Source organism: Homo sapiens, chromosome 21, assembly GCF_000001405.40.
Source record: "Homo sapiens chromosome 21, GRCh38.p14 Primary Assembly".
In the NCBI taxonomy this organism is placed as follows: Eukaryota; Metazoa; Chordata; class Mammalia; order Primates; family Hominidae; genus Homo; species Homo sapiens.
Genome location: NC_000021.9, coordinates 34978696 through 35001883, shown reverse-complemented (window position 1 = coordinate 35001883; position 23188 = coordinate 34978696). Strand labels below are relative to the sequence as shown.

At 44.9% G+C, this 23188-nt stretch overlaps 1 protein-coding gene across 13 annotated transcripts in view, besides 4 other annotated features; it reads left to right on the top strand.

The window, feature by feature from the left end:
- RUNX1 (RUNX family transcription factor 1) overlaps window positions 1-23188 on the top strand; it is a 261502-nt gene that overhangs the window by 47419 nt on the left and 190895 nt on the right. The window lies entirely within an intron of this gene.
- Window positions 5258-5552: an enhancer, noted in NCBI's record as "tiled region #4684; HepG2 Activating non-DNase unmatched - State 7:EnhWF, and K562 Activating DNase matched - State 5:Enh". NCBI's record gives its function as "activates a minimal TATA promoter and a strong SV40 promoter by Sharpr-MPRA in HepG2 and K562 cells {active_cell/tissue: HepG2 | K562}" and the evidence as "EXISTENCE:reporter gene assay evidence [ECO:0000049][PMID:27701403]".
- Window positions 10718-11012: a silencer, noted in NCBI's record as "tiled region #3099; K562 Repressive DNase unmatched - State 14:Gen5'". NCBI's record gives its function as "represses a minimal TATA promoter and a strong SV40 promoter by Sharpr-MPRA in K562 cells {active_cell/tissue: K562}" and the evidence as "EXISTENCE:reporter gene assay evidence [ECO:0000049][PMID:27701403]".
- Window positions 11724-11833: an enhancer, noted in NCBI's record as "active region_18412". NCBI's record gives its function as "activates an Ori minimal core promoter by ATAC-STARR-seq in GM12878 lymphoblastoid cells {active_cell/tissue: GM12878}" and the evidence as "EXISTENCE:reporter gene assay evidence [ECO:0000049][PMID:35858748]".
- Window positions 14465-14514: an enhancer, noted in NCBI's record as "active region_18411". NCBI's record gives its function as "activates an Ori minimal core promoter by ATAC-STARR-seq in GM12878 lymphoblastoid cells {active_cell/tissue: GM12878}" and the evidence as "EXISTENCE:reporter gene assay evidence [ECO:0000049][PMID:35858748]".

Sequence of the window (23188 nt, the reverse complement as noted above, 5' to 3'; positions counted from 1 at the left end):
AAATTGTTTTCAGTTACCTTTTTGAATTGGTCATTGCAAGTATGTAGAAACACAACTGCTCTTTGTGTTTCTATATATTCTACAAGCTTGCAGAATTCACTTATTATATCGAACAGATTTTTATTTCAGGATTCTTTAGAGTTTTCTACATATAATATCATGGCATCTGTAAAGAGATAATTTGACTCCTTACTTTCCAATTTGGGTGTCTTTTATATGTTGTTTTCTTAATTGCTCCGGCTAGAATTTCCAGTACTGTGTTGAATAGAAGTGGCAAGAGTGAACATCCTTGTCTTGTTCCTGATCTTAGGGGAAAAGCTTTCAGTAGTTTATCATTCGGTATTATGTTAGTTGTGGGTTTCTATATATGAGCTTTATCGTGTTGAAGTTTTCTTCTACTCCTAATGCATATTTAGTCTTTATTTGGGCAATTAAAAAGTTTTGGGAAAAATGAATAGTAATTATTATTGCCAACATTGTGAATGTAATTAGTGCCATAGAACTATAGTTAAAAATTCTTAAAATGTCAAACTGTATGTTATATATGCGTATATATATATATATATATATATATAAAACCATAACTCAAAAAAAATAATAGGCCAAAAACTTATTGAATTGTACATTTGAAATAGGTGAACTATATGATATGTGAATTATATCTCAATAAGGCTATTAAAAAAACTTTTAAAAAATACAAATAAGAAACTATTGCAAATGGAAGTAAAAAAAATTATAGAGACGGTAAAGAGAGTGACTGTTTTGGAGGTAAAACCAGCATTAGTCGATGACTGGTAGATGGAGGGAACGAGCAAAAGAAAACAGGCATGGAAGTATCACATGTTCTTCAGCGTAAGAAATCTGGAAACTGCAATTGCCATAGAGGACTATGGGAGGAAGACATTTGGAGGGAAAGACCAAAAGTCTGGATCTAGAGACATTCGAGGTTGCCTTTTGCTTTCTGCTGCCTTATCCTTAGCTCAGCCTGGCACCAGAAGAAGTGGCTCAGGGACAAACTAGTAACCAGGTGTTCCCTGCGTGTGCAGGGCTGTCATTGAGAGTGACTTCCATTCCCATTTTCCCTGGAACAGAACTCAGATTAGGAGGCCATACCAAAAGGCAATGATGTGAGAGACGGTTGAGAGAGATAACAAAGAATTTCCCAGTATTAAGAGTAGTTAATGTTACTTATACAAGTCCAAAGAACATGAAGCACTCAACTATGGGAACATGAATAAAATAGCTATCTGCCTGCCCTTCCGGAACTTTGCATACAGTCGTGTATGGTAAACATTTGTTTGCCAGTTGATTGTTAAGCTTTAGTGCCTGATGAAAATTATATGAGGCTGGGTGCGGTGGCTCACGCCTGTAATCCCAGCACTTTGGGAGGCCGAGGTGGGCAGATCACGAGGTCAGGAAATCGAGACCATCCTGGCTAACACGGTGAAACCCCGTGTTTACTAAAAATACAAAAAATTAGTCAGGTGTGGTGGTGGGTGCCTGTAGTCCCAGCTACTCAGGAGGCTGAGGCAGGAGAATGGCGTGAACCCGGGAGGCGGAGTTTGCAGTGAGCCGAGATTGCGCCACTGCATTCCAGCCTGGGTGACAGAGCAAGACTCTGTCTCAAAAAAAAAAAAAAAAAAAAAAGAAAGAAAGAAAATTATATGATCGTCTTCCCTCTAGATTTAAAAAAATCAGTAGACACAGTTTCCTTTTTGGGAATTATAACACCTCTTCCTTGAGACAAAAATTCCTTAGATACCTTTCAGCCTTGAGTTTTAAGATGTTTCAGTGCCTTGTATCCATAGTTCTAACTTTGGACATCATTTGCTTTTGTTTGGATTGCAATCAAATAACTGTTTGTGTAAAAGTCAAATATTATAAGCGTGGCTCCAACATCTTGGGTGAAAGCTCATCTCGTTCAGCCCGATAAAGATGAAGCTTAACCACTAGGTAGAGCCAGCTGAAATCATTTGGAAAATTTCACTTAGCTTTAATCTAGCAGGTTCCTTTCTGTTGAATGATACCAGTGGCGAGTTCCTTAGAAAGCTTAGTCTGACGCAATAGTCACACTTTTAAAAGGAGGAAGACCAGGATTTACACCGTCTTGTGCCTAACGGGAGAGAAGAGAGGGAGCCAGGTCTTCCACTCATTTTCCATGTGCTTTCCGTGGGCTGAAGGCCTAACCACGTGTGGTCACAAAACCCAGCACTGAAACAGCTGTCCCCTTTCATCTCGGTCCCCACATGTCGAACACTAGATTGTGTGTGTGTTTTCAATACTCTCTTCCAGGGAGTTCAGAACACACGTGTTCCTTTTAACTCCTACCAGACCCTGAGATCTGCAGGCCAAAAGGACCATTCTGGAAGGAGTTTGGAAAGATCAGGGGTCAGCTGTTGAGCAACAGCCTGAGAATCAGGAAGCGCAGGTCTCCCAGGTCAGCCCCTAACTCACTCACCCTCAGCTGTGGGGGCTCCATGACCTTGATGTATCTTGGTTTTGTCACCTATAAAACACAGATAGCAACACTTCCAAAACAGACACTAAATGGAATGCATTTTGTGATCTTTGGAGAAAAGGCAGCCTGTTAACATATGCTAACAACGTGTTATGCTGGGGCAGGCCTGGAGCCACGGCCTCCCATCACCACCAGAGTCATTTCATTTCAGGAACCTCTGCCAAGAACAGCCTGATCACCCCAGCCTCCAAGCTCCGGCTCTGGGTCCAGCTGGCATGAGATAAAGGGCCACTCTGCCCAGTTGTGTGTGCTGCCCTGCTCACCCAAAGGCCTGAATTCAGGGCTTCCAGTGCTGATGGCCAGCACAACTCACCTATTTCACCTAAGAACAGACCTCCTTATTGCCATGTGCCTGTCTCCCATCAAGTCTATTAACTCTCTCATTGGTGGGATAGAGCAGTCTAGGCTGGCTCCTTCAAAGAGAATGGTTTTGCTTTGGAGCACAGATTTCCCAACTGTACTTCATGGGTGGATATTTAGTAGGGTGAGAGCGTTTGTGGTTTGTTTTGGTCTTAAGAAAAAAGAGGCCGGGCACGGTGGCTCACGCCTGTAATCCCAGCACTTTGGGAGGGCAAGGCGGGCGGATCACGAGGTCAGGAGACTGAGACCATCCTGGCTAACTCGGTGAAACCCCATCTCTACTAAAAATACAAAAAATTAGCCAGGCATGGTGGCGGGTGCCTGTAGTCCCAGCTACTCGGGAGGCTGAGGCAGGAGAATGGCGTGAACCTGGGAGGCGGAGCTTGCAGTGAGCCGAGACTGGGCCACTACACTACAGCCTGGGTGACAGAGCAAGACTCCATCTCAAAAAAAAGGAAAAAGAAAAAAAGAAAAAAGAAGCTGACCAGATGAGATGAGGACTGGGCTCTCTGACTCCCTCTGCACTCTGTGGAGTTGACTTTCATGTTGCCCAAAGCCAAATAAAATTCTCTGAGGAGGAGGATGAAGGATGGAGGTGGGGGAGGGAGCAAATGTTGCCAGGAACTGTCGCTGTTATCTCTGAAAGTCACACGGTGGTCTCTGGACGTTGTGTGGTCCCTCTGAGGAAGCCACAGGGACGTTCTCAGGAAAATGGGGCTGATCTCTGTGGCCCCTGCTCAGGTCCCCTTTTCCTAAGCCCCCTGCTTTTCCTCTTCATCCCCTCTCCCAGCCCTTCTTGCTTCCCTAAATATTTTCTTGAGAGGAAACGAGGGCAGCAAAGATATTAATATTGACAGGCTCAACCCTTTCCTGATGGTCTCAAAGTTTAAAAGAGAAACATAGAAGATGCAATGCTTACCCAAGTCATACATTTGAGTGGTAGATGTCTAGATAATGTCACCAGGGCAAGGCAGAGGCAAGGGAGATGGGGGAGGAGAGTAGAGATGGCCCTGGATGTGCCAGGTGACCATACGCTCAGCCCAAGTGAGAGCCCAGTCCTGGTCCTTCCACCCCATCTTGCAGAACCTTCTTTCCACATGCACCCCAAATGCACAGAAAAGGCCAAAATGAAGCGCCCAGATTGGGGGTGTTGGGGAGAGAAGGATGATGGTCTTGAGTTATGAAAATCATCTTGGGAAGTTTGCAGGAAAAGAATAGTGCCTGGCAAGGCCCCTTCTGCACTAAGCTCCAAAGCAAGAGGAAGTGGGGTTGAATATCAGCATGAAGAATTTAAGATAGACCTAGGAAAGCATCTCCACACAGAAAGAGCTCTTCAGCCTGGTAAGACGTTCCTGCCTGGGGTGTAAGCCCCTCTCTTTGAAAGTCTCCAAATAAGCAACAGTTCTATCATCTATTGAAGCTGATCGTCAGCAAGACGACTTCCAGTGCCAAGACTACTTTACCATCTAATTTTAGCAATCCCTCTTGGCAAAGGAAGAGTTTCCCCTTTCCTCCGGCTATCTGGTGTTCCACACACCATCTCCTACTGCTTCCTTTGATGTTGGGGGATTCTGTGGACTCAAGGCCAGATACAACACAGGAAGAGACACACTCATAGGCATTACACTGCCCTATCTCACTGCAGCAATAAGAGGCCTATTTTTTTTTATTGTGAATTTGAGGCACTCAGTTTGAAAAATATGGGCTGTCAGGTTTGGGATTAAGACTCAGTATTGATCATTATGTCTACAGCCATGCAAAAGTTTCTTTTACTTTTAAGTGCTAGGATGTTTAAATCATGATTTTATTTCAGTTGTTCATTTAAAGATTTCATTCATGCTTTTAATTCACTGTCAGTGAATGCAATTTAAGCCCATCACATAATGATAGAAAGTGGCTGAAAGCCATGAGAATATGTTTCTCATTGTGGAAACTACAAGTTAAGTCATTTTCTTCTCCCGAGTAAATTTCTTCAGTTTGGCTAAGGGAATTTTTTTAAAAGGAATCATAAGTTCTGAATTAGTTTTTCATCTCAGATGTTAACCCTATGGAAAATGTGGCAATGTTTCTGAGATTTGCAAAATATTGTGATAGTATCTATGTCTTATTGCTCAAGATCTAAACTCTTATGTTTGGGAGTAGGGGTTTGCTGTGTATGTGTGTATTTTTTTTTAACATCTTGGCCTCACAGTGTAAAGTGATAAGCTCAGGAGGAATGTTGTGCTGCAGAACGCCTACATTACTAGATTACTTACGGCAACACTTTCTTTAATGAGGATCTCTGTGAAACCATCTTTTTTTCCACTTACAGTTTCAATAAGAGGAGATCAGTTATGAAATTAAGTAGGAGAGAACAATAGAGAGAGAGAGAGTTCAGCATTCCTCTTCAAGCTAGCTAATATTTTTAAAATGTCGACACTGTTCCAGGAACTCTGCTTTTTAGGCCAAAGATTCTGCCCTGGTCTTCGTCCTCTCCACACCCCCAGCATCTCGTGGGCTGACACATCAACAGGGTTTGAGAAAGAGACACAAAAGGTCAGACGCATGACACAGCAGGAACCCAGGAGGACGTCCCTGCAGCCTGCTCTCTTCTGATAGATCTCCCCCAGCCCCCAGTTCCCAGCCTCTGACCCCAGTCCCACCCTTATAATGTCCCTTTCTCTCTATTTTCTCTCCTGTACCACTTTTCCCTCCATTTAGCCCTCCTCCTCATCCCCTCTTAGGCAGAGTTATCACACCTGAGCTCTACAACTGAGCTGAGCAATATATACAAAACTCAAGCCTGGTTTAGGCAGGCCTGACCCCTGGGATAGGTCAGGGCGGTGGTTCCTTGGGAGAATTCCTGCTTGATGAGATGGAAGGTCCAAGTCAATAGCCTCATGGTCCTCCCAAGTCTGACAGTCTGCTATTCTACACACCTGTCCACAGGCTGCAGACATATAAAGGTAAATGTTCAGGTATTAGAAAATATTCAAAGAATTCTCAATGTTCAAAATTCTGAAAAGCAAATCTATGCTGAATGTGTGGTGGGGGCATTCTAAAAGATAAAAAATGATGGCTACAAAAAGCCAAGTATAAAAAGAAACACGTACATATACACACACATACACCTACACATGTACATTCGAAGAGGCAGAGGAGAGACAGAGAAAATAATTAAGACAGCATTAGTTCCTAAATAGCCTTTTCTATAAACTCCATGACAACAAAGGACAATGAGTAAACTGCAGTATCTAAAGATTTAAATCTCAGAATACCTGCCAGATGCCAGGCATGGTGGTTCACGCCTATAATCCCAGCACTTTGGGAGGCCAAGGCGGGTGAATGGCTTGAGTTCAGGAGTTCGAGAACAGCTTGGGCAACATGGCGAAACCCTGTCTCTACAAAAAATACAAAAATTAGCTGAGCATGGTAGCGCACACCTGTAGTCACAGCTACTTGAGAGGCTGAGGCAGGAGGGTCACCTATGCCCAGGAAGTCAAGGCTGCAGTGAGCTGTGATCACACCACTGCACTCCAGCCTGGGTGACAGAGCAAGACCTTGTCTCAAAAAAAAAAAAAAAAAAAAAAAGCTCCCAGAAAGTAACAGCCTTTATTTCAAAGAGGTCAAGTCTCAACAGAGTTGTCATACTTTTTTTTTTCAGTTAGGAAAAATGATGACTTTAATGGATTACTCATTTTATCGCTTTTAATTTACCAAAACCAGTGAGAAATTGGGTTCCCAGCTCATTAAGTTCCACCCTTTGTGGTCAGAGCTGAAAGGGTCAGAGAGTCTGCTGGGAAGGGTGGAGTCTGATGTGTAGGGCCAAAGGGGACATAGTGGCCTCACAAGGTGGGGCCTCCGTGGCCACCAGCCATGCTCAGGAGCCGGTCCCCACCCCTCAGTCCCCCAACATGGCACAGCCTGCTTGGCATCCATTGCTGACTTCGGCTACCAGTCAAGTTTCCTTTCGGGCTTAAATGCCACGGGTGTCCATGCGGGGCTGATTCATGTTCTCCTAGACTTCTTGCCACCCTGTTCACGGGCCTGTCTGGAGCTCCAAGACACTTGCCTGCAATGGCGTTGCGGTTCCAGCCAGGAAAGCCAATTAACTGCTTCAGAAGTTGGCTGAAGTCTCTGAGGGTGTACGGGAACAGAAGTGCCCAGTCAGTATTAGGCTGGAAGTTAATTCCTCTTTTCTTAGGTCAGTCTATATCTATTGACCAATTTAACTACAACCACAAAAGTCTGCATATATGTGTATGAGTCTAACATACCAAACCCTTCATTATGTCCTCATCAGTAGAAGAAGATAATAGATCATTTCGTTTATTTATTTTTCTTTTTAATTTTCAATTTTTACGGGTACGTAGTACCCGTAAATGTAGGTACCTAGGCATTTAGGTGCATAGTAGGTGTATACGCATAGCAGGTGCACAGCTGTGGAGCTGTGATCACACCACTGCACTCCTATGCACACATTGTACCTATACACATCTCATGTATGGGGTACATGAGATGTTTTGATATAGGCATGCAATATACAATAATCACGTCATGGAAAATGGGGTATCCATCCTCTCAGCATTTATTCTTTGTGTTATAAACAATCCAATTATACTTTTAGTTATTTTAAAATGTACAATTAAATTATTATTGACTATGGTCACCCTGTTATGCTGTCAAATACCAGGTCTTACACATTATTGCATTTTACATAGTTTACACCATGGGTAAATATTTTATCCTCCTTCCCAGTTTAGAAAATGTCTTGGAAGTTTTTTTTTTAATTTTCTTAAAAAATATATGAATAGCAATGGTAAAAAAAAATGTGGTTCCGTCTAGATGTTCTGGTACTGTTAAATGATCCAATGGTTGTCAAAACTTGCTCTATGTTTATCATCACAACCTTTACTTTCTCCTTCTCCATTCACTAAGAGGGGGCTGACCTTTCCTCTGTTGCTAACGGGGCTTTTGAGACAATTCCGTATGTTGCCAGCCGGCCCGGAGGGAACAACCCTTTCCCCAAAACCACTTGCTTGACTTCAAAGGATATGAAAAAATCTGCTTTTAGGAAAATTAGTGAGTGGAGAATCTCAGTGAATGATGTGGAATAAATTAGAACATTGCATTTATGCCAGGTCATTCATGTCACATTCCTCAGTCACATACCCGTGTGTGTGTGTGTCTGTGTGTGTGTCTGTGTATGTGTGTGTGTGTGTCTGTGTGTGTGTCTGTGTGTGTGTGTCTGTGTGTGTGCGCCTGTGTGTGTCTGTGTGTGTGTCTCTGTGTGTCTGTGTGTGTGTGCCTGTGTGTGTCTGTGTGTGTGTGCGCCTGTGTGTGTGTCTGTGTGTGTGTCTCTGTGTGTCTGTGTGTGTGTGCCTGTGTGTGTCTGTGTGTGTGTCTGTGTGTGTGCCTGTGTGTGCCTGTGTGTGTGTGTCTGTGTGTGTGCCTGTGTGTGTCTGTGCCTGTGTGTGTGTCTGTGTGTGCCTGTATGTATGTGTGTGTGTGTGTGTGTGTGTGTGTGTAGGGACAAACAAACAGACATTGTCCTCTGACTCTATTCTGGCTCCTATTAATGGTGTTTTACCTGAAAAGGCAAATCAAATGGAAAGTCCCTGAGGTTCCTAGGAGCCCCTCTGGTACAGTTTTGTTTGCCCCTAGAACTGCTTTTTTCTCTGAAGTTGCTCTTTTTTTAAGATAATGGTTTCTACCCTACATCTTACCTTACCCCATCCTATAGCTACATCAGTATGCTTGCATTTAAAATTATCCCTGTCCAGGAGTGACATCGCTAAGGCATATAGATTAGATTGGGAAACTTGGCCTTCTGCTCTGGGAAGTTTAAAAAGCTTCTGAAATTGCCACGTCTTCCTCAAAGCAGTCACCCTAGAAGTAGAGCAGAGGTGATGGCGTCCGCCAGATACGAGGTGAAGCACCCAGCACCTTCCACGAGTGCTTCCCAAAGGCCCCAGATGCCCTTCCTGGCAGGGCAAGAGAGTGGTCCTTTCAGGGAACCGTCCACCCTGCTGGCAGCTCTGCCTAGAGAACCACCCGGAGGGAGTCTCCGCTCCCCTCCCTGCTGAGGCCTGGGCGGGCTGCCTGCACAGTCATCCTCCTCATTGCTAGCCCTGACATGGAGAAACTGGACTTGGATGGGCCCCTCTGGCCACAAGGTAGCTGCATTGCAAAGCCCTGCCAGGCCAGCTCGAGGACTGGCTGAGTCTGAGCTTGCTGGGCACTGCCTGGGCTGCCACGAAGGCGTTTGTGTGGATATGCAGCAGTGAACATGGCCAAAGGGCATCGCCATCCCATTTCTTGGGTTGTTTTTTTTTTTCTTTTTTTTTTTTTTATATTTGTAATGTTTAATCTTGTGAAAGAAACGTCATAATCTTTTGAGAGGGGAGTTTTTCTTTATACCTCTTATCACTCTCTGAAATCACCACTTGTTTAATGATTGGGAGATTCATGGCTGGTCACCCCTAGGATGTTAATTCCATGGAGACAGAGACTGGGACCAATCTCACTGCCTAATCCATCCTCAGTGCCCAGAACAGTACCTGACTCATGTTCACTTCAGGGATTCATTTTCTAAAAAGGGAGATTGAAGCCCCAGGTGGCTGCCTCCTGCTTTCCAAAGTCTGGCTGCCGGGAATGTGCCCCAGGCTCCTGGCTCGTGCTCCAGCACTGTGTACCTCCCAAAATGCCATCTTGGGAGAGGAACATGCTGGCCTGCCTGTGCAATGTGTGCGCCATCTGGGAGTCCCCCACTACATCCACCACCGGGCAGAACTTCCAGGGAAGCAGGCCTGCTGGCTCTGTACCCTGTCCTGGGAAGGGGCAGAAATGTCCAGGCCCCTGGAGACACCGCCCGCTTCACTCTCCTGAGAGGGGGTGCGTTACTTTCCCATGCTTGCCATAACACATTACTACAAACTGGGTGGCTGAAAACAACAGAAATTATTTTCACAGCTTTGGACGCCAGAAGTCCAAAATCAAGGTGTTGGCAGGCCCTTGCTCCCTGTGCAGGCTCTAGGGGGAAATCCTTCCTTGCCTCTTTCTACCTTACAGCAGTTGCCAGCACTCCTTAGCTTCTGGGCTACATCAGCCCAGTCTCTGCCTCCAGCATCATATGAGGTCTTCCCTCTGTCTGTCCGTTTTTTCTTCTTATAAGGACATCAGTCATTAGATTCAGAGCCCACCCTAATCCAGGATGACCTCGTCTTAACCAGTTACTTCTTCAAAAACGCTATATCCAAATAAGGTCACATTCTGAGGTTCTATGTGGACATGAACTTTGGGGAACACTACACAACCCAGTTCAGACCATACAGACGTGGGAGCCGTTCCCCTATCTACCACTTTGTAGCCGTGTGACTTCAGGCAAGTCACATCACCGCTTTGTGCCTCTGCTTTTCCACCTGTAAAACAGAAATAACAGTCATCATCACCATCATCATCATCATCATCATCATCATCATCGTAATCCCTGCTAGGAATGCTGCCGGGCACATAGTGATAGCTATGCAGTTTGGTCAGATAAAGTCAGCCAAGTGCCCGTAGCTGCTATGTAGAGGTAAACTGCATGGACAGCCATGTCATCAAGGGCCCCACTGGGGGTGACACAGAAGGGAACAGACTCATAGGGCCAACCAGAATGCACAGGGCAGGGCGCCTACCCAGGCTGAGGGAGCCATGGCAGATGTGAATATTCTCTTTAACAAGGGGTATCTAGCCAAGGGAAGAGAGGACCGAGGGAATTTCGGGAGGAGGTAAAGGCATGTCCAGGGATCTAGGGGCAGGTAGGGGCCTGGCATGTTCAGAAAACCTGAAGCAGCTGGGATATAGCAAGAGAGGCAGGCAAGGTGGAACCACAGAGGCTGGGCCCCGGTCTTCGCCAGCGCAGCAGTGGAGACAGGCTTCCAGCATTGCTCCTGGCTTTAGTGATCAGTGATTCTCTAACCCCCTGGTTGGACAGAATGACACAGCGTTCCCTTGAACTGTACGGCTCTTTGTGCAAATAAGTGAGTGACCTGTGGCATTCTCCTCATGAACAGAGTTACAGATGTTTCTATGAAAAAGTTACTGAGCATTTGTCTGCTTTTATGCAAAATGTATAGCAAAAATTTATTCCCCAGCCGGGCACGGTGGCTCACTCCTATAATCCCAGCACTTTGGAAGGCCGAGGCGGGTGGATCACCTGAGGCCAGGAGTTCAAGACCAGCCTGGCCAACATGGTAAACCCTGTCTCTACTAAAAATACAAAAATTAGCCAGGCGTGGTGGTGGGTGCCTGTAATCCCAGCTACTCGGGAGGCTGAGGCAGGAGAATCACTTGAACCCAGGAGGCAGAGTGAAACTCCGTCTCAAAAAAAAAAAATTATTCCTCATATCCCAACATTATATCCGTTAATGGAAGAGCCCCAGTGGTATGGGTGCACGTCTCTGTGGTTCATCATATAACAGCAGCAGGATAATGAAGCTCAACCTCTCAAAAGCTTTCAACTAAAACCCTCCCTCTGATCCACCTTTTATGACTAGGCCTATTGCACTGGCTCATTTTTCCCCACTATGGCAAAGATCCATCACTGTTTCTTTTTAGCACCAGGAATGTCACACAGCGGCACACGTGCAGCTCTGCCATTCTGGGGGTTCCTGCTCTTCCCTGGGGAAGCTTCCAGAAGAAACTGCCTTGTCTGCAAGTCTTCCGTGGTTTGTAGGATCCAGACCCTACTTGCATCACAAACAAACTCATTTTAGAGATTCTGGTTTTAAAAAGAATCTTCCTATTTTGTCGGATCTGATGCCTCACCCAGCTGCATGAAATATCTGATGATTACTGGTGGTCAGGGGTCTCTGAATGAAACTGACAGGCAGAGACATTCAGGAGGGAGCAGCTCAGTGCAGCAGCACAGAGATAGAACCTTAGAGCCTTGAGTCAGTCCCTGTGCAGAAAAATGAACGATAGAGTCATAGAAGCTCAGAGTGGGAGGTGAGACTTGTAATTGTGAAAACAGCTCACATTTACTGTGCATCCGTTTCATCCTCCTTCCACCCTGTGAGCATGCTCCCGTCCCCAACCCATGAGGAGTGAGGTTAAATGACTTGCTACTTGGAGCGTAAGAGGTAATCCACCTTCTCCCCAGTGTACAGATGTGGCAGGCAAAGCCCAGGGAGTCTCTAGGGCCTGCAGAAGGGAATGAAGCATTGTAAGAGCTGGATCCCTGTGGTTTACCCTTCGTGCCAATGCTTATAGTGAGCTGAAAGGCTTTGGTCAGAAATCTTACTAGACATTTCAGCTTTTGCAGCACAAAGACATTTAAATTCTACCAGAACAAACACTCCTGTGGCCAGTTTTTCATAGTTTTTTCAGAAGCTGCTTTGGGTGGATTTGATGTATCAAAAGAGAAAGAATCATCCTCAGAGCTTCCCAAGTAGACTAGGAGGAGAGAAACTGCTTTAATCAGGGACACATCATGCCAGGCAGTTGCCCAAGGGGATGATTTCAGAAGCCTGGGAAAGACCCTGGCTTCCAAAAGTAACTTCCTCCCCCACACCTCCTAGCACAGCCTCATGCCTTTGACTTCAAGCTTAGGTAACCTCTGAGAAGTCAGCTCTCCTAGAAAGGTAAAACTATCAGTCATTTAAGCTGTAGTACGAACTAAGAAGCTACCCCAAGCAGAGTAGAGAATGGCAAAGATCAGTATAAAGAGATCTGGGGCCGGGCGCCGTGGCTCACACTTGTAATCCCAGCACTTTGGGAGGCAGAGACAGTCAGATCACCTGAGGCCAGGAGTTCAAGACCAGCCTGGCCAATATGGAGAAACCCCGTCTCTACTAAAAATACAAAAATTAGCTGGGTGTGGCGGCGGGCGCCTGTAATCTCAGCTACTCAGGAGATTGAGGCAGGAGAATCGCTTGAACGTGGAAGGTGAAGGTTGCAGTGAGCTGAGATCATGCCATTGCACTCCAGCCTGGGCAACAGAGTGAAACTCCATCTAAAAAAAAAAAAAGAGAGAGAGAGAGAGAGAGATCTGGGCCAGCCAAAGGCACATGTTCTGGATCTCTCCACTTTGCCTGAACCTGCACCTATTGGGATCATCTCAGTTCCCTTTGAGGATGTGGGGGCCTCAGAGCCTGGAAAGCCACACCCCTATTCTCCTGCCCACTATCAGCTACTGGATCAGAATCCACCAACTGTTGACAGGTTCAGCCAGTGTTCTCAAACAACCTCATGTGCAGGGTGCTCACTCAGGACAGGATTATGGGTGCCGGAGGAGACCATCCCAATAATAATCATAATAAGTTGTTGCACACACTGTCCGGATGTCAGGTGAGGGGATGAGTAGGGAAGAGCCAATCAAAGCTGGAAGCAGCAGTAGAAATAACAAGCTACTGTTCTCAGGGATGGCTTCATGGTAGAGGCAGCATCTCAGCAGGTCCTAGGGGTAAGAATGAGTTTGGCAGATGGAGATGGGAAGGACAGTTGTACAGGAGCCGAGGCGAGTGCCCACAGCACAGTTTTTGAAAGTACTAGATGATGCTGCAGCACAGAGCCACAGCAGGACAGCAGGCTGGGCAGCTGAGCCCTGCCATCCCCTTCCCTGGGATCTGCACCGCCCTGGTCCTTCTGGGCTCATGTATGAAAGGAGCAGCCCCAGGAATGTTGATGAAAGATGAGACTACACGCCTGGTGTCCTCGAAAGTGCAGCAATGCCAGTCTCTTAGCAACCATGTTTCCCCCGGCTGTGTCCACAAGTCCTTTGCAGATACAAGGGAAGAAGGACCGTACTGACCCCAGGGGCACCAGGAGCTGGGCTTCTCTGATCTTCCTTGGCACCCCTCCTCTACCTTAGCTGGCACCCGATGTGGTGCAGGCAATAGGGATGTCTTGGGATCCTAAGCCCAGCCTTGAGGAGGGGCGCATACTGACTTGTCTACAATTATAGGATGCTAGAAATTTACAGAGTGAATTCACAAACAGCAACTCCTCTGAGCCCCACAAAATCCTGCAAGAGAAAAGAGAGGTGGCATGAATTGTCTCATTCTATAAATAAGAAACCAAACTGAGGTTCTAAGAATCTCCGTGATTTCAGGCCACCTGTGCCCTGGGGATGGGAGTTGTTCATCAGCCTGGATCTCTGGCATCACACAAGACTGTCCCCTCTAGAGCAAGTCTGCACACGAAGCTAGCATTTTCCAGGCACTTCAAGAAATCTTGTCTTTCATTTTCTCTTTTCTGAGTGACTTGGGGTTCTGCCGAATTCCTGTTTCTGCAGAGGGCTGTAGCCTTTTCTCCTTTCCACATACTTTGGTGCTCTCCTAGCTAGGATAAAATGCTCTTTTTTTCCCCCTCTTTGGTTTTATGAGAATTTTTTTAGCGATGTCAGACTTCAAAGGAGGCCTCCTAACCATAAAGATCTCAACCAGACTCACATTTGTGATTCTTTCTCATGCCTGCGTGAAAAGGACAGTGGTGCTAACACATGGCTCATCTCCCCCTTGACATTCAGCCTCCTTTAAGTGATTTTACAAAGCCCCCTCACTTTCTCTTTCGGGTCCTAAATTAGTATGTCAGGAATCAACAGCTGCCTTCTCAGCCAAGAAGCTGGGCGCCTGGGGACTTCATTCTTCACCGCTGTCTGGAGCCCCGAAGATCTCTGTGCTCCCTGCCTCGTGTCAGCAGCCCGCTCCCCTCAAATGTCTGGCTTTCCTCAGCAACTGGCTACATGCTCCTGTTCTTGCTAAGTCACTGAAACCCTGGCCACAAGGCGGACGAAGCGAGATTTAATTGAATCTTTCAGCAATGATTCACAGAACAAAGCCTGACTGTCTGACCTGGAAACCACACAGTGGGGAGTTTAGAAACCCCGAGCCTAGTCAAAACAACGTTCCTCTTTCAGCCATTGATTGAAGTTCAAAGTAACAAAGCCGTAAGTCAGAACAAGCCATTGTCATGGCAAGGGCGGTGCAAGAAACACACTTACCTGGGCATGCAGCCTTGTGGGGTGAGGCTTCCCTGGCCTGTCAATCATGTCGGTCCCATTGGGACTGGCTTCAGGGACAACATGGCCTCCTGGGAGAAACTTCCCAGCTAGTCAGTGAAGCTCAGTGGTTGAGGTTAGGGGACTGTGTTAGTTTCCTGTGGCTGCCATAACAAATTGCCACAAACTGTGTGGTTTAAAACAACAGAAATGTATTCTCTTACAGCCCTAGAGGCTAGAATTCCAAGATCAAGGCGCTGGCATTTCTGTGCTCCCTCTGAAGGCTCCAGGAGAGGATCCTTCCTTGCTTCCCCCAGCATCTGGTGACTCCCAGCAACCCTTGACATCCCTTGAGTCATCTTTGCATTACTCCAGTTTCTGCCTCTGTCTTCGCATGGCATCTCTCTGTGTACCCCTGTGTGTCTTCTCCTCTTCTTATAAGGATGCTGATCATTGAATTTAGCAGCCAACCTAATCTAGTATGACCTCATCTTAACAAATCACATTTACACAAACCTTATTTCCAAAAAGCGTGACAACCTGAGGTTCTAGGTAGATGTGGATATTTGGGAGACACATAGGGAACCATGGCTTTTTTGCTAAATGCCACATATCTCCTGCTCCCTGCCCCCATCTTGTGGAGTTAGTTATTCCATCCTCAATTTTGAGACCTCCTCCACAGACTAAACTCTTGGTGCATGATGTTGAATCTTGACCTTTCAACTTTCAGGTTTGAGGAAACAAACAGTGCCAGCCTTTGACATAGGACCCAGTGTGATTTGATGGAAAGAGCATTGAAAGTTAATGCAAGGCAGACTGGAAGGTGAAACAGTGGACAGTATCTAGGGACATAAATGATCAGCCAAAACAGTCTGGGCTGGGTGCAATGGTTCATACCTGAAATCCCAGCATTTTGGGAGGCTGAGGCGGGATCCCTTGAGCCCAGGAGTTCGAGATCAGCCTGGGCAACATGGCAAAACCCATCTCTACAAAAAATACAAAAATTAGCCCAGTGTAGTGGTGCATGCCTGTAGTACCAGCTACTTTGGAGGCTGAGACAAGGAGTATCTCTTGAGCCTAGGAGGTTGAGGCTGCAGCGACCATGATCGTGCTATTGTACTCCAGCCTGGGTGACAGAGTGAGACCCTGTCTCAAAAAAAAAAAAAAAAAAAAAAAGTCTGGTCAGAGTTGTTGATAGACCACCAGACACTTTCTCTAAAACCATTTGTTACACCGCATACCACATCGTTGGAGAAGGAAATGTTGGTGGCAGTGAAATGACTATAATAATATAATATAGGATAATAAAATATGAGTGAATAAAATAGGTGTGTACCCCATTCATAACAGTCCCTGTCTGTCTGTGAGAAAGGAAGCCAAGTCCACTGAGGAATATTAAAGAAACCCCCATATGGTATCCCCAAAGGGCTCCACCCTAAACATTTGGAGTAGGGGTCAGTATAGGGATTGGTGTGTGGTTGCCCTGAGAGTGTTTTAATGCTCACCATGGGCTGAGAGCTTTCAGAGAAAAAATCGTGTCATCTCCAAGATCTCACATTCTGGAATGTTCTTCCATCCACAGCTTCTACTCCTTCCCTGCCTATTCCACTCCTACAGATTGTACTTGCCGTCTTCATGGTGACCCCAGACACCTCTGGCTACCTCTGCTCTCCAAGCCAGTCAGCAAGCACCCTTTGACAAACCTAGTTCTGCCCCGATGGGCCTGAACCCAAGACTGGGTCACTCCATTGAGGTCCTGCTGGCAGCCTATTACTCCCTGCTCTGTCATCCCTATTGCAAGAAACTATGATGAGACCATAGGGAAATGAAGGACCCATCAATCTAATATCAATATTAAATTACTGTACCTTTCAATGGAGTGCTAAGTTCTTTACCTTCATTTATTAACTCAGGATGACCACTTACTTTCTCTGCTCTTGTTCTAAGTCTTCTAAGTATTATTGGAATCACATAACTACTTTGACACAATTTTTTCATCCTAACCTGTGCACTGAATACTCAATATATCCATGCACAACCTCCTACCATGCTATATATTTTGGGGCTATTCCAAACCTGGCCTGGGCTGCCAGCCCTGACCCCCATACCATGCAGCCTGTCCTCTGGGAAGATCCTGTCACCCCTGTATTCCTGAGAAGAGAAATGAGTTCTATGGAAAGTACCTGATCACTTCCTTCCTTCACATGACGGGGTCTATCTGCATCTTCATGTGACCTCTCTCTGATGGACATTGTATTTGCCCAACTACTTTGCAGACATGTGCCACATAACTGTGCTTCTGCACTCAAGCCCTCCAGCTTCCTCTAGAACTGTTCCATCAACCCTTCATTCCCTTCTTTTCCTTCCTGCACTTCTCTCCTCTCCACTCCTGGTCTCTCTCCACTGGCTGGGCATTTCTCTTGTCTTAAAATACTCTTCTTTTTGATTCTGCTATTTCTGCAAGCCACCAACTTCTTTCTCTTCTTCCTTTTGCCACCACTTCCTCTGAAATAGTGAATCTCAAACCATTTTTCCTCCACAGCGCACCAAAGAGCCGTAGCTATTGCAGTGGCCTCCCCCACAGATAAGTTATATGGAAGACTGTGTATAGTTCTATAGTTTTTTTTCTGCCCTCATATGGGACCTTCTGGTGCACAATGACATACTGAGATTGGCCACTTTGCTAACTGATTTGCTACTCTGGGGCTTATAGTCTAGGCCACTTCATCCTCCAAGAACAAATTATCCATCCTTGGCCTTGCTTTTTCACACTGTGATGATTTCTTCTGTTATCTTATTATCACTGCTTTTTCCACATTTTTTTCTCTAGCTACTCTTCCTTCTCTCTTACTCCAAATACATCCTAGACCCTGTCCCAGGCTCTCTTCTCTCTCTGGTCCACCTTGTTCCCTTTGTGAATCTGGCCACTCTTGTCTTGAACACCATAGACCCATGACTGGCAACTCTAACCCTCCAGCTCAGCCCATTTCTGGGTGCTGGCCTTATTTTCAATTGACTTCTGAACACATCCACTGGGGATGCCCCTCTGAGGAACCTTGAGGCAAATATGTCCCCAGCTGAATTAATCATCTTCTCAGATTTTCCAGCTCCCCTATTTCTGGCAGCAGCACCATTGGCCCCTGAGTCAGCAGGGCTAAACTTCAGAGTTAATGGTGATGACCCTGCTCCACCCCCACACCAAACCACTAGCTAAGTTTTAGCTACTCCACTCTGCTATTTCTGCAAGCTACCAACTTCATTCTCCTCTTCCTTTTGCCACCACTTCCTCTGAAATAGTGAGTCTCAAACCATTTTCCCCCCACAACACACCAAAGAGTTATAGCTATTGCAATGGTCTCCTCCACAGATAAGTTTTATGGCAGACTGTGTGTAGTTCTAGGATTCTTAGTAATCTAAACCCCTGCCCCAGGTAGCCAAGAATCAAGTTTGTTGTACTCCCAGCACACAAAAGAGATTGTCTTAGATAAGACAGTAAAGAGATTGTATATCATTATCATTTCATGTAATTACCTTTTATTTGACATTTAGAACATGCTGTTAGATGTTCTGATAACCCAAAAATCAAAATGTTGATAACAACTTATGAAAAAGTGAAAGCTCTGTAGTAGAGTAATAAATTTATTTTGGTGTTATTAGTAGGGGTAGTAAATTTAAGTAGCTTTTCTTCTACCCTCATTTGTAAGTCTGTTAAGAGTTTGAGAGAAATAAGGGCCATTGTCTCTGGAAAGAATGACTCATTCAGTAGTTTAGCTTAGCGCTTCCTATGATTCACATCACCATTCGAGTTTCTAATGCTTAACCTTCCTAGAAGCTACAGTGAAAAACAAGACAGATGCCTGGAGTATGATTTGGTGGGTTCAATAAAGCCTTAATCCTCCAAAATTTCTACCTCATGCGCTTGCTGGTTAACAACACATTTAATGCCTTCTCTCTTTGTAACCTACCAGACATCATGGATGAGAGAAAGAACCAAAAAGGATGAAGAACTAGGTGCCTGGAATGTTCCTAAAGATTCACTTGGGAAACAGCTTAATATAGTGGACTTTGGCAACAGACCAACTAGGCTTCAAATCTTGGTTCTACCACCTAACGGTTATAAGACCTTGAAAGATGGTTTAACTTCTGAGTTCATTTCCTATTTCAAAAGTAAAGATAGGCCACATGCAGTGGTTCACACCTGTAATCCCAGCACTTTGGGAGGCCAAGGCAGGCGGATCCCAAGGTCAGGAGGTCAAGACCAGCCTGACCAACATGGTGAAACCCCGTCTCTACTAAAAATACAAAAATTAGCTGGGTGTTGTGGCACGCGCCTGTAATCCCAGCTACTCAGGAGGCTAAGGCAGGAGAATCACTTGAACCCGGGTGGCGGAGATTGCAATAAGCCAAGATCGCGCCACTACACTCCAGCCTGGGTGACAGAGTGAGACTCCATCTCAAAAAATAAAAATAAAAAAAGTAAACATAGTAATAGTATCGCAATCATTAATGAGGCTATATAAAACATAAACAGAAAATTGACAACTAGGTATGCTAAGAGGAGAGTGGATGGTAACTTTCCCAATCCAAACTCTCTCCTCCTTCCCTTTCTTTCTCTTTCTTTCCGTCACACACACACACACACACACCCCTTTTGACTTCATAATTGAGCCTTGGACTAACCCTGGGACCCTAGTAAGAGCTACCCCTTCATCAACAACAATCTTTATTTTACTTAATGAATGATGTAAATGGTAGTTCCCTGGGTAGCTTGGACTTAGAAGTCTATCCCTAGAAGAATTCTCTACACCTTGTATGTGGCACAAAAGACTAAATCCTTGGTAAGAAAGATGGTAGCGATTTATAGTTATAATGACTTGAGTAGATAAGCGCTAATATCCATGTGATAAAGGAAAGGCAGGAAATGGACAAAGGCATTTAGTGACCTGCGGATGAAATGAAGTGCCTTCTGTCTGTACGGCTCCTCCAGCATTGGCATGTACTAACGAATGTGCCCAGCGAACTGGCATTGAGCACTTCTGTCTCACTATCCAGCTGCATTTTTAGCAGCTGTTCTGAGACTCACCCTTGCAGGCTTTTGGCCAAGCATCAGCCCCATATAAAGAAGAGAGATTTGTTGAGGGGGGCTCCTTGCTGCACTGATGGCAATGACCTACAGATACAGAAAGACCGGTCTCAGAACCATTTTGTAGCTAAGGAAACAGATACAGCCATTGTGAAACATCAAGCCATATTATTATAGTGAAAAGAGACAAAAAAAAATAGGCCACCACTGGGTGTTTTGGAACATTTGAATAATCAAGCAAAATGGATTAAATTAACTATCAAGTAAAATCTTCTTTGAAAAATCAGTTACCAATATGGCAGGAAATAATATTATTCTGAATTCCATGGCTCATGTGGATCCAAATATTTGTAAAATCTAGTCATTACTAAATCCATAAATAATGAATACTCTTTTTTTTGGACTTTCAAATAAATTTTCCAGGAGAAAGTTAAATCCATTCCTGGGTGAGCTTAAGCTGATCCATGCAAAATCTATTCCTTGGCACCAGGCTTCTAGAATAGGTCCAGGGACTCCATATTTTTATTTGCTCAATGTTTCTTGTTTAAGGGGAAGCTTGAATAGTACCATTACAGATTTTCACATCTAATTTTCACCGAAATTCAGAAGAGTATTGCCATGCCTCACTTATCCTAAACAATAACAGATTTGTCATTCTGTCACCAGCAGAATTAAGTGTGTGTCCCAGGTTTCCATGGTTGGAACAAGGACTCCAAAGGGAAGCATCTATTTTTCTCACATCAGATTGGCGTGGAAGTTAAGGACTTCAAAACGAACTCCACAAGCAATGCTATTAAAGCCGCTTCCTCATGTTTAGACCCTCAGCTGTTGTTGATCTTAGGAGGGACCCTTCCACAGACTTGTCTTCTCCTTTGATATTTTAGCCTCTTAATAATTTTAAGTCAACCATCCATAGCTGACAGTTTTGCTGATAAAGTACCTTTATAATGATAGACTTGGTGTTTAAATTTCCGCCTACGTCTTCTCTAAGTTGGTGACCTAATTGTAGCTGATGCTTCCAGTAGAAATACTCACTTGGTAACCTCAAGCTATTTCTGGGCACAGCTGAAATAAAGCAAATTGCTTTTTAAGCTGATGATTCCAGGTTCTGTGTCTTATTTTCCATTTCTTCTTGTCCATTTTTCCATGTAAGTTTTATCTGCTACCTACAAACCATGAAAAACAAATTATTCCATTCAAATCTTTGGAAACGGCTGTTCACTGGCACACAATCACAGTGTCTTGATAGTTTTTCTGGTTTTGAATTTCTGGAAGGGAAATCCTCCTTCTGAGGAGACTTCACTTTCCGTCAGTAATGGGGAAAACTGTTTCCCTCGGGATAGCAGAGGTCATTTTAAAAGAGAACACTCAGCAGAAATGAAAATCCAAACAACTGATTTTTAATTCGTGTCTCTTTGTTCAGTGATGTTGGTCCTGATTCTGCCTATGAGACGGGAATAAAGAGAGATTTCGGGAAAAGTGTGAAGCCAAACATGGGTGCTATTTAAATACCACCCTCATAATTTGAAACAAGACCCAGCTCCTCCTATCTTCACAGGCAGAATACCCCATCCCCAGGCTACGTAGGACCTGATAAATGTGGGGTGACCCATACTGGCCTGGCTTATGCCCACTGGCCTGCGTTGGTGAATAAATTGTGTGGTCTCTTCCTTGGTGTGATTTTTCCCTGGGTACTTGCAAGATGCCTTATTTAGAAAGAAAACGACAAGGCTAATGGTTCCAGAGAACTTCGTCCACTGTTTATATGAAGAGACTGAGACTCAGTGGGGCTCCACAGCCTGCTCTTCAGTGACAAAGCCAAGACCAAAGTAATAATAGCAGATCTTTATATAGCCTTTGCTGTCAAGCCAGGTACTTATACATAAGCGCTTTATGTATATTGACTCATTTAATCCTTCCACCAACCTGCAGGATTCGTGTTGTTTAATCCCATTTTACAGCAAGTAGCTCGCTTTCGGCCATGCGCTAGCAGGGGCAGAGCTGTGTTCTGGGGCAGGCGACCTGGCTCTGGAGCCCACTGAGACGAACCCAGCACCCTCCACCTGGCAGACCCAGCACTCCTCACTCTTGGTCCTACCCTCTGTTCTCTGTTAGGTTGCTTTGGGACCAAGGGGAGAAAAAAACTTGTTAATGAAAATGGAGCCCAACATTTCAAAGCTGATGTTTTTATACTACTGTGAACATCATCAGAGTGCTATCTAATGCACTTAAAACCGACATGACTTTAAAACAGACGTGAAATAGACTTGCCAGATAATATATAGACATGTCTTTAAGCAAACATTGAGCAAAAGGTACCTCGCTGGTAACAACCATTCAGAAGGAAAGAAACGCTGTCATAAAATAATTAATATAGTCATCCCAGACAGAATGGCTAAATAGCAGTCTGGTGGTTTTTATGTTAGCATTTGTTTGTCAAGGTCTTCCTGAATGAGACTGTAAGTCCCTCCAAACCACATATGTGCCTATGTAGTTCTCTTGTAGAGCACCTGATAAAATACCTATGGAAAGATTTTTTTAATAAATATTGTAATATTGTTCAATGGCAGTTATAGAGAATCCTTGGTACTGACCTTTGAGTTGCCAACCTATGCAAACAAAAAAAAAAAGCATTGGTTATAAAGACTATGACTTATAAGAAAGACTTATGAGGATGTATAGCATATAACGCTTGAGGCATATCTTGGAGCATATATCTATGAACAAAATCAAATCCAAAAAGACTCTTTCTCTTATTCCGGGGGCTGTGGGTCACAGATGCTATTCCAGAACCCAGGCATGGGAATATATGCAGCATCCTCCAGACTTGACAGTTCCCAGTCAGCTGTGCTTGACTGGAGCCTTCAGGGCTCAGAGTTGCAGGCGAGATGGAAATTACGAGAGATCTTTACTCTCTCAAACTCAAGGGATAATGGTCTGTCTCATAAGAACCTACCTGGCCCAGGATGGACAAAGATGCTGTGTGTGTGTGTGTGTGTGTGTGTGTGTGTGTGTGTGTGTGTATCTGTGTGTGTGTTTTGTCTGAGAAGTCTGGCAAGGGAGAGACCCCAAGGTCACCTGAAAATCTCCTCTTTGCATCCAGGTGGCTTAGGAAAACATGCTTCAGTATCAGAAAAAGAAGCCTTCCAGCAGACAGAGGTTTAAACAATACAACAGCCCACAGTTTATCAGTAGAACTGGCAGAAACAGCAGACTATCCTTCAATTACCCTCTACAGTTGTTCATAAATATTGGAATTTCCTTG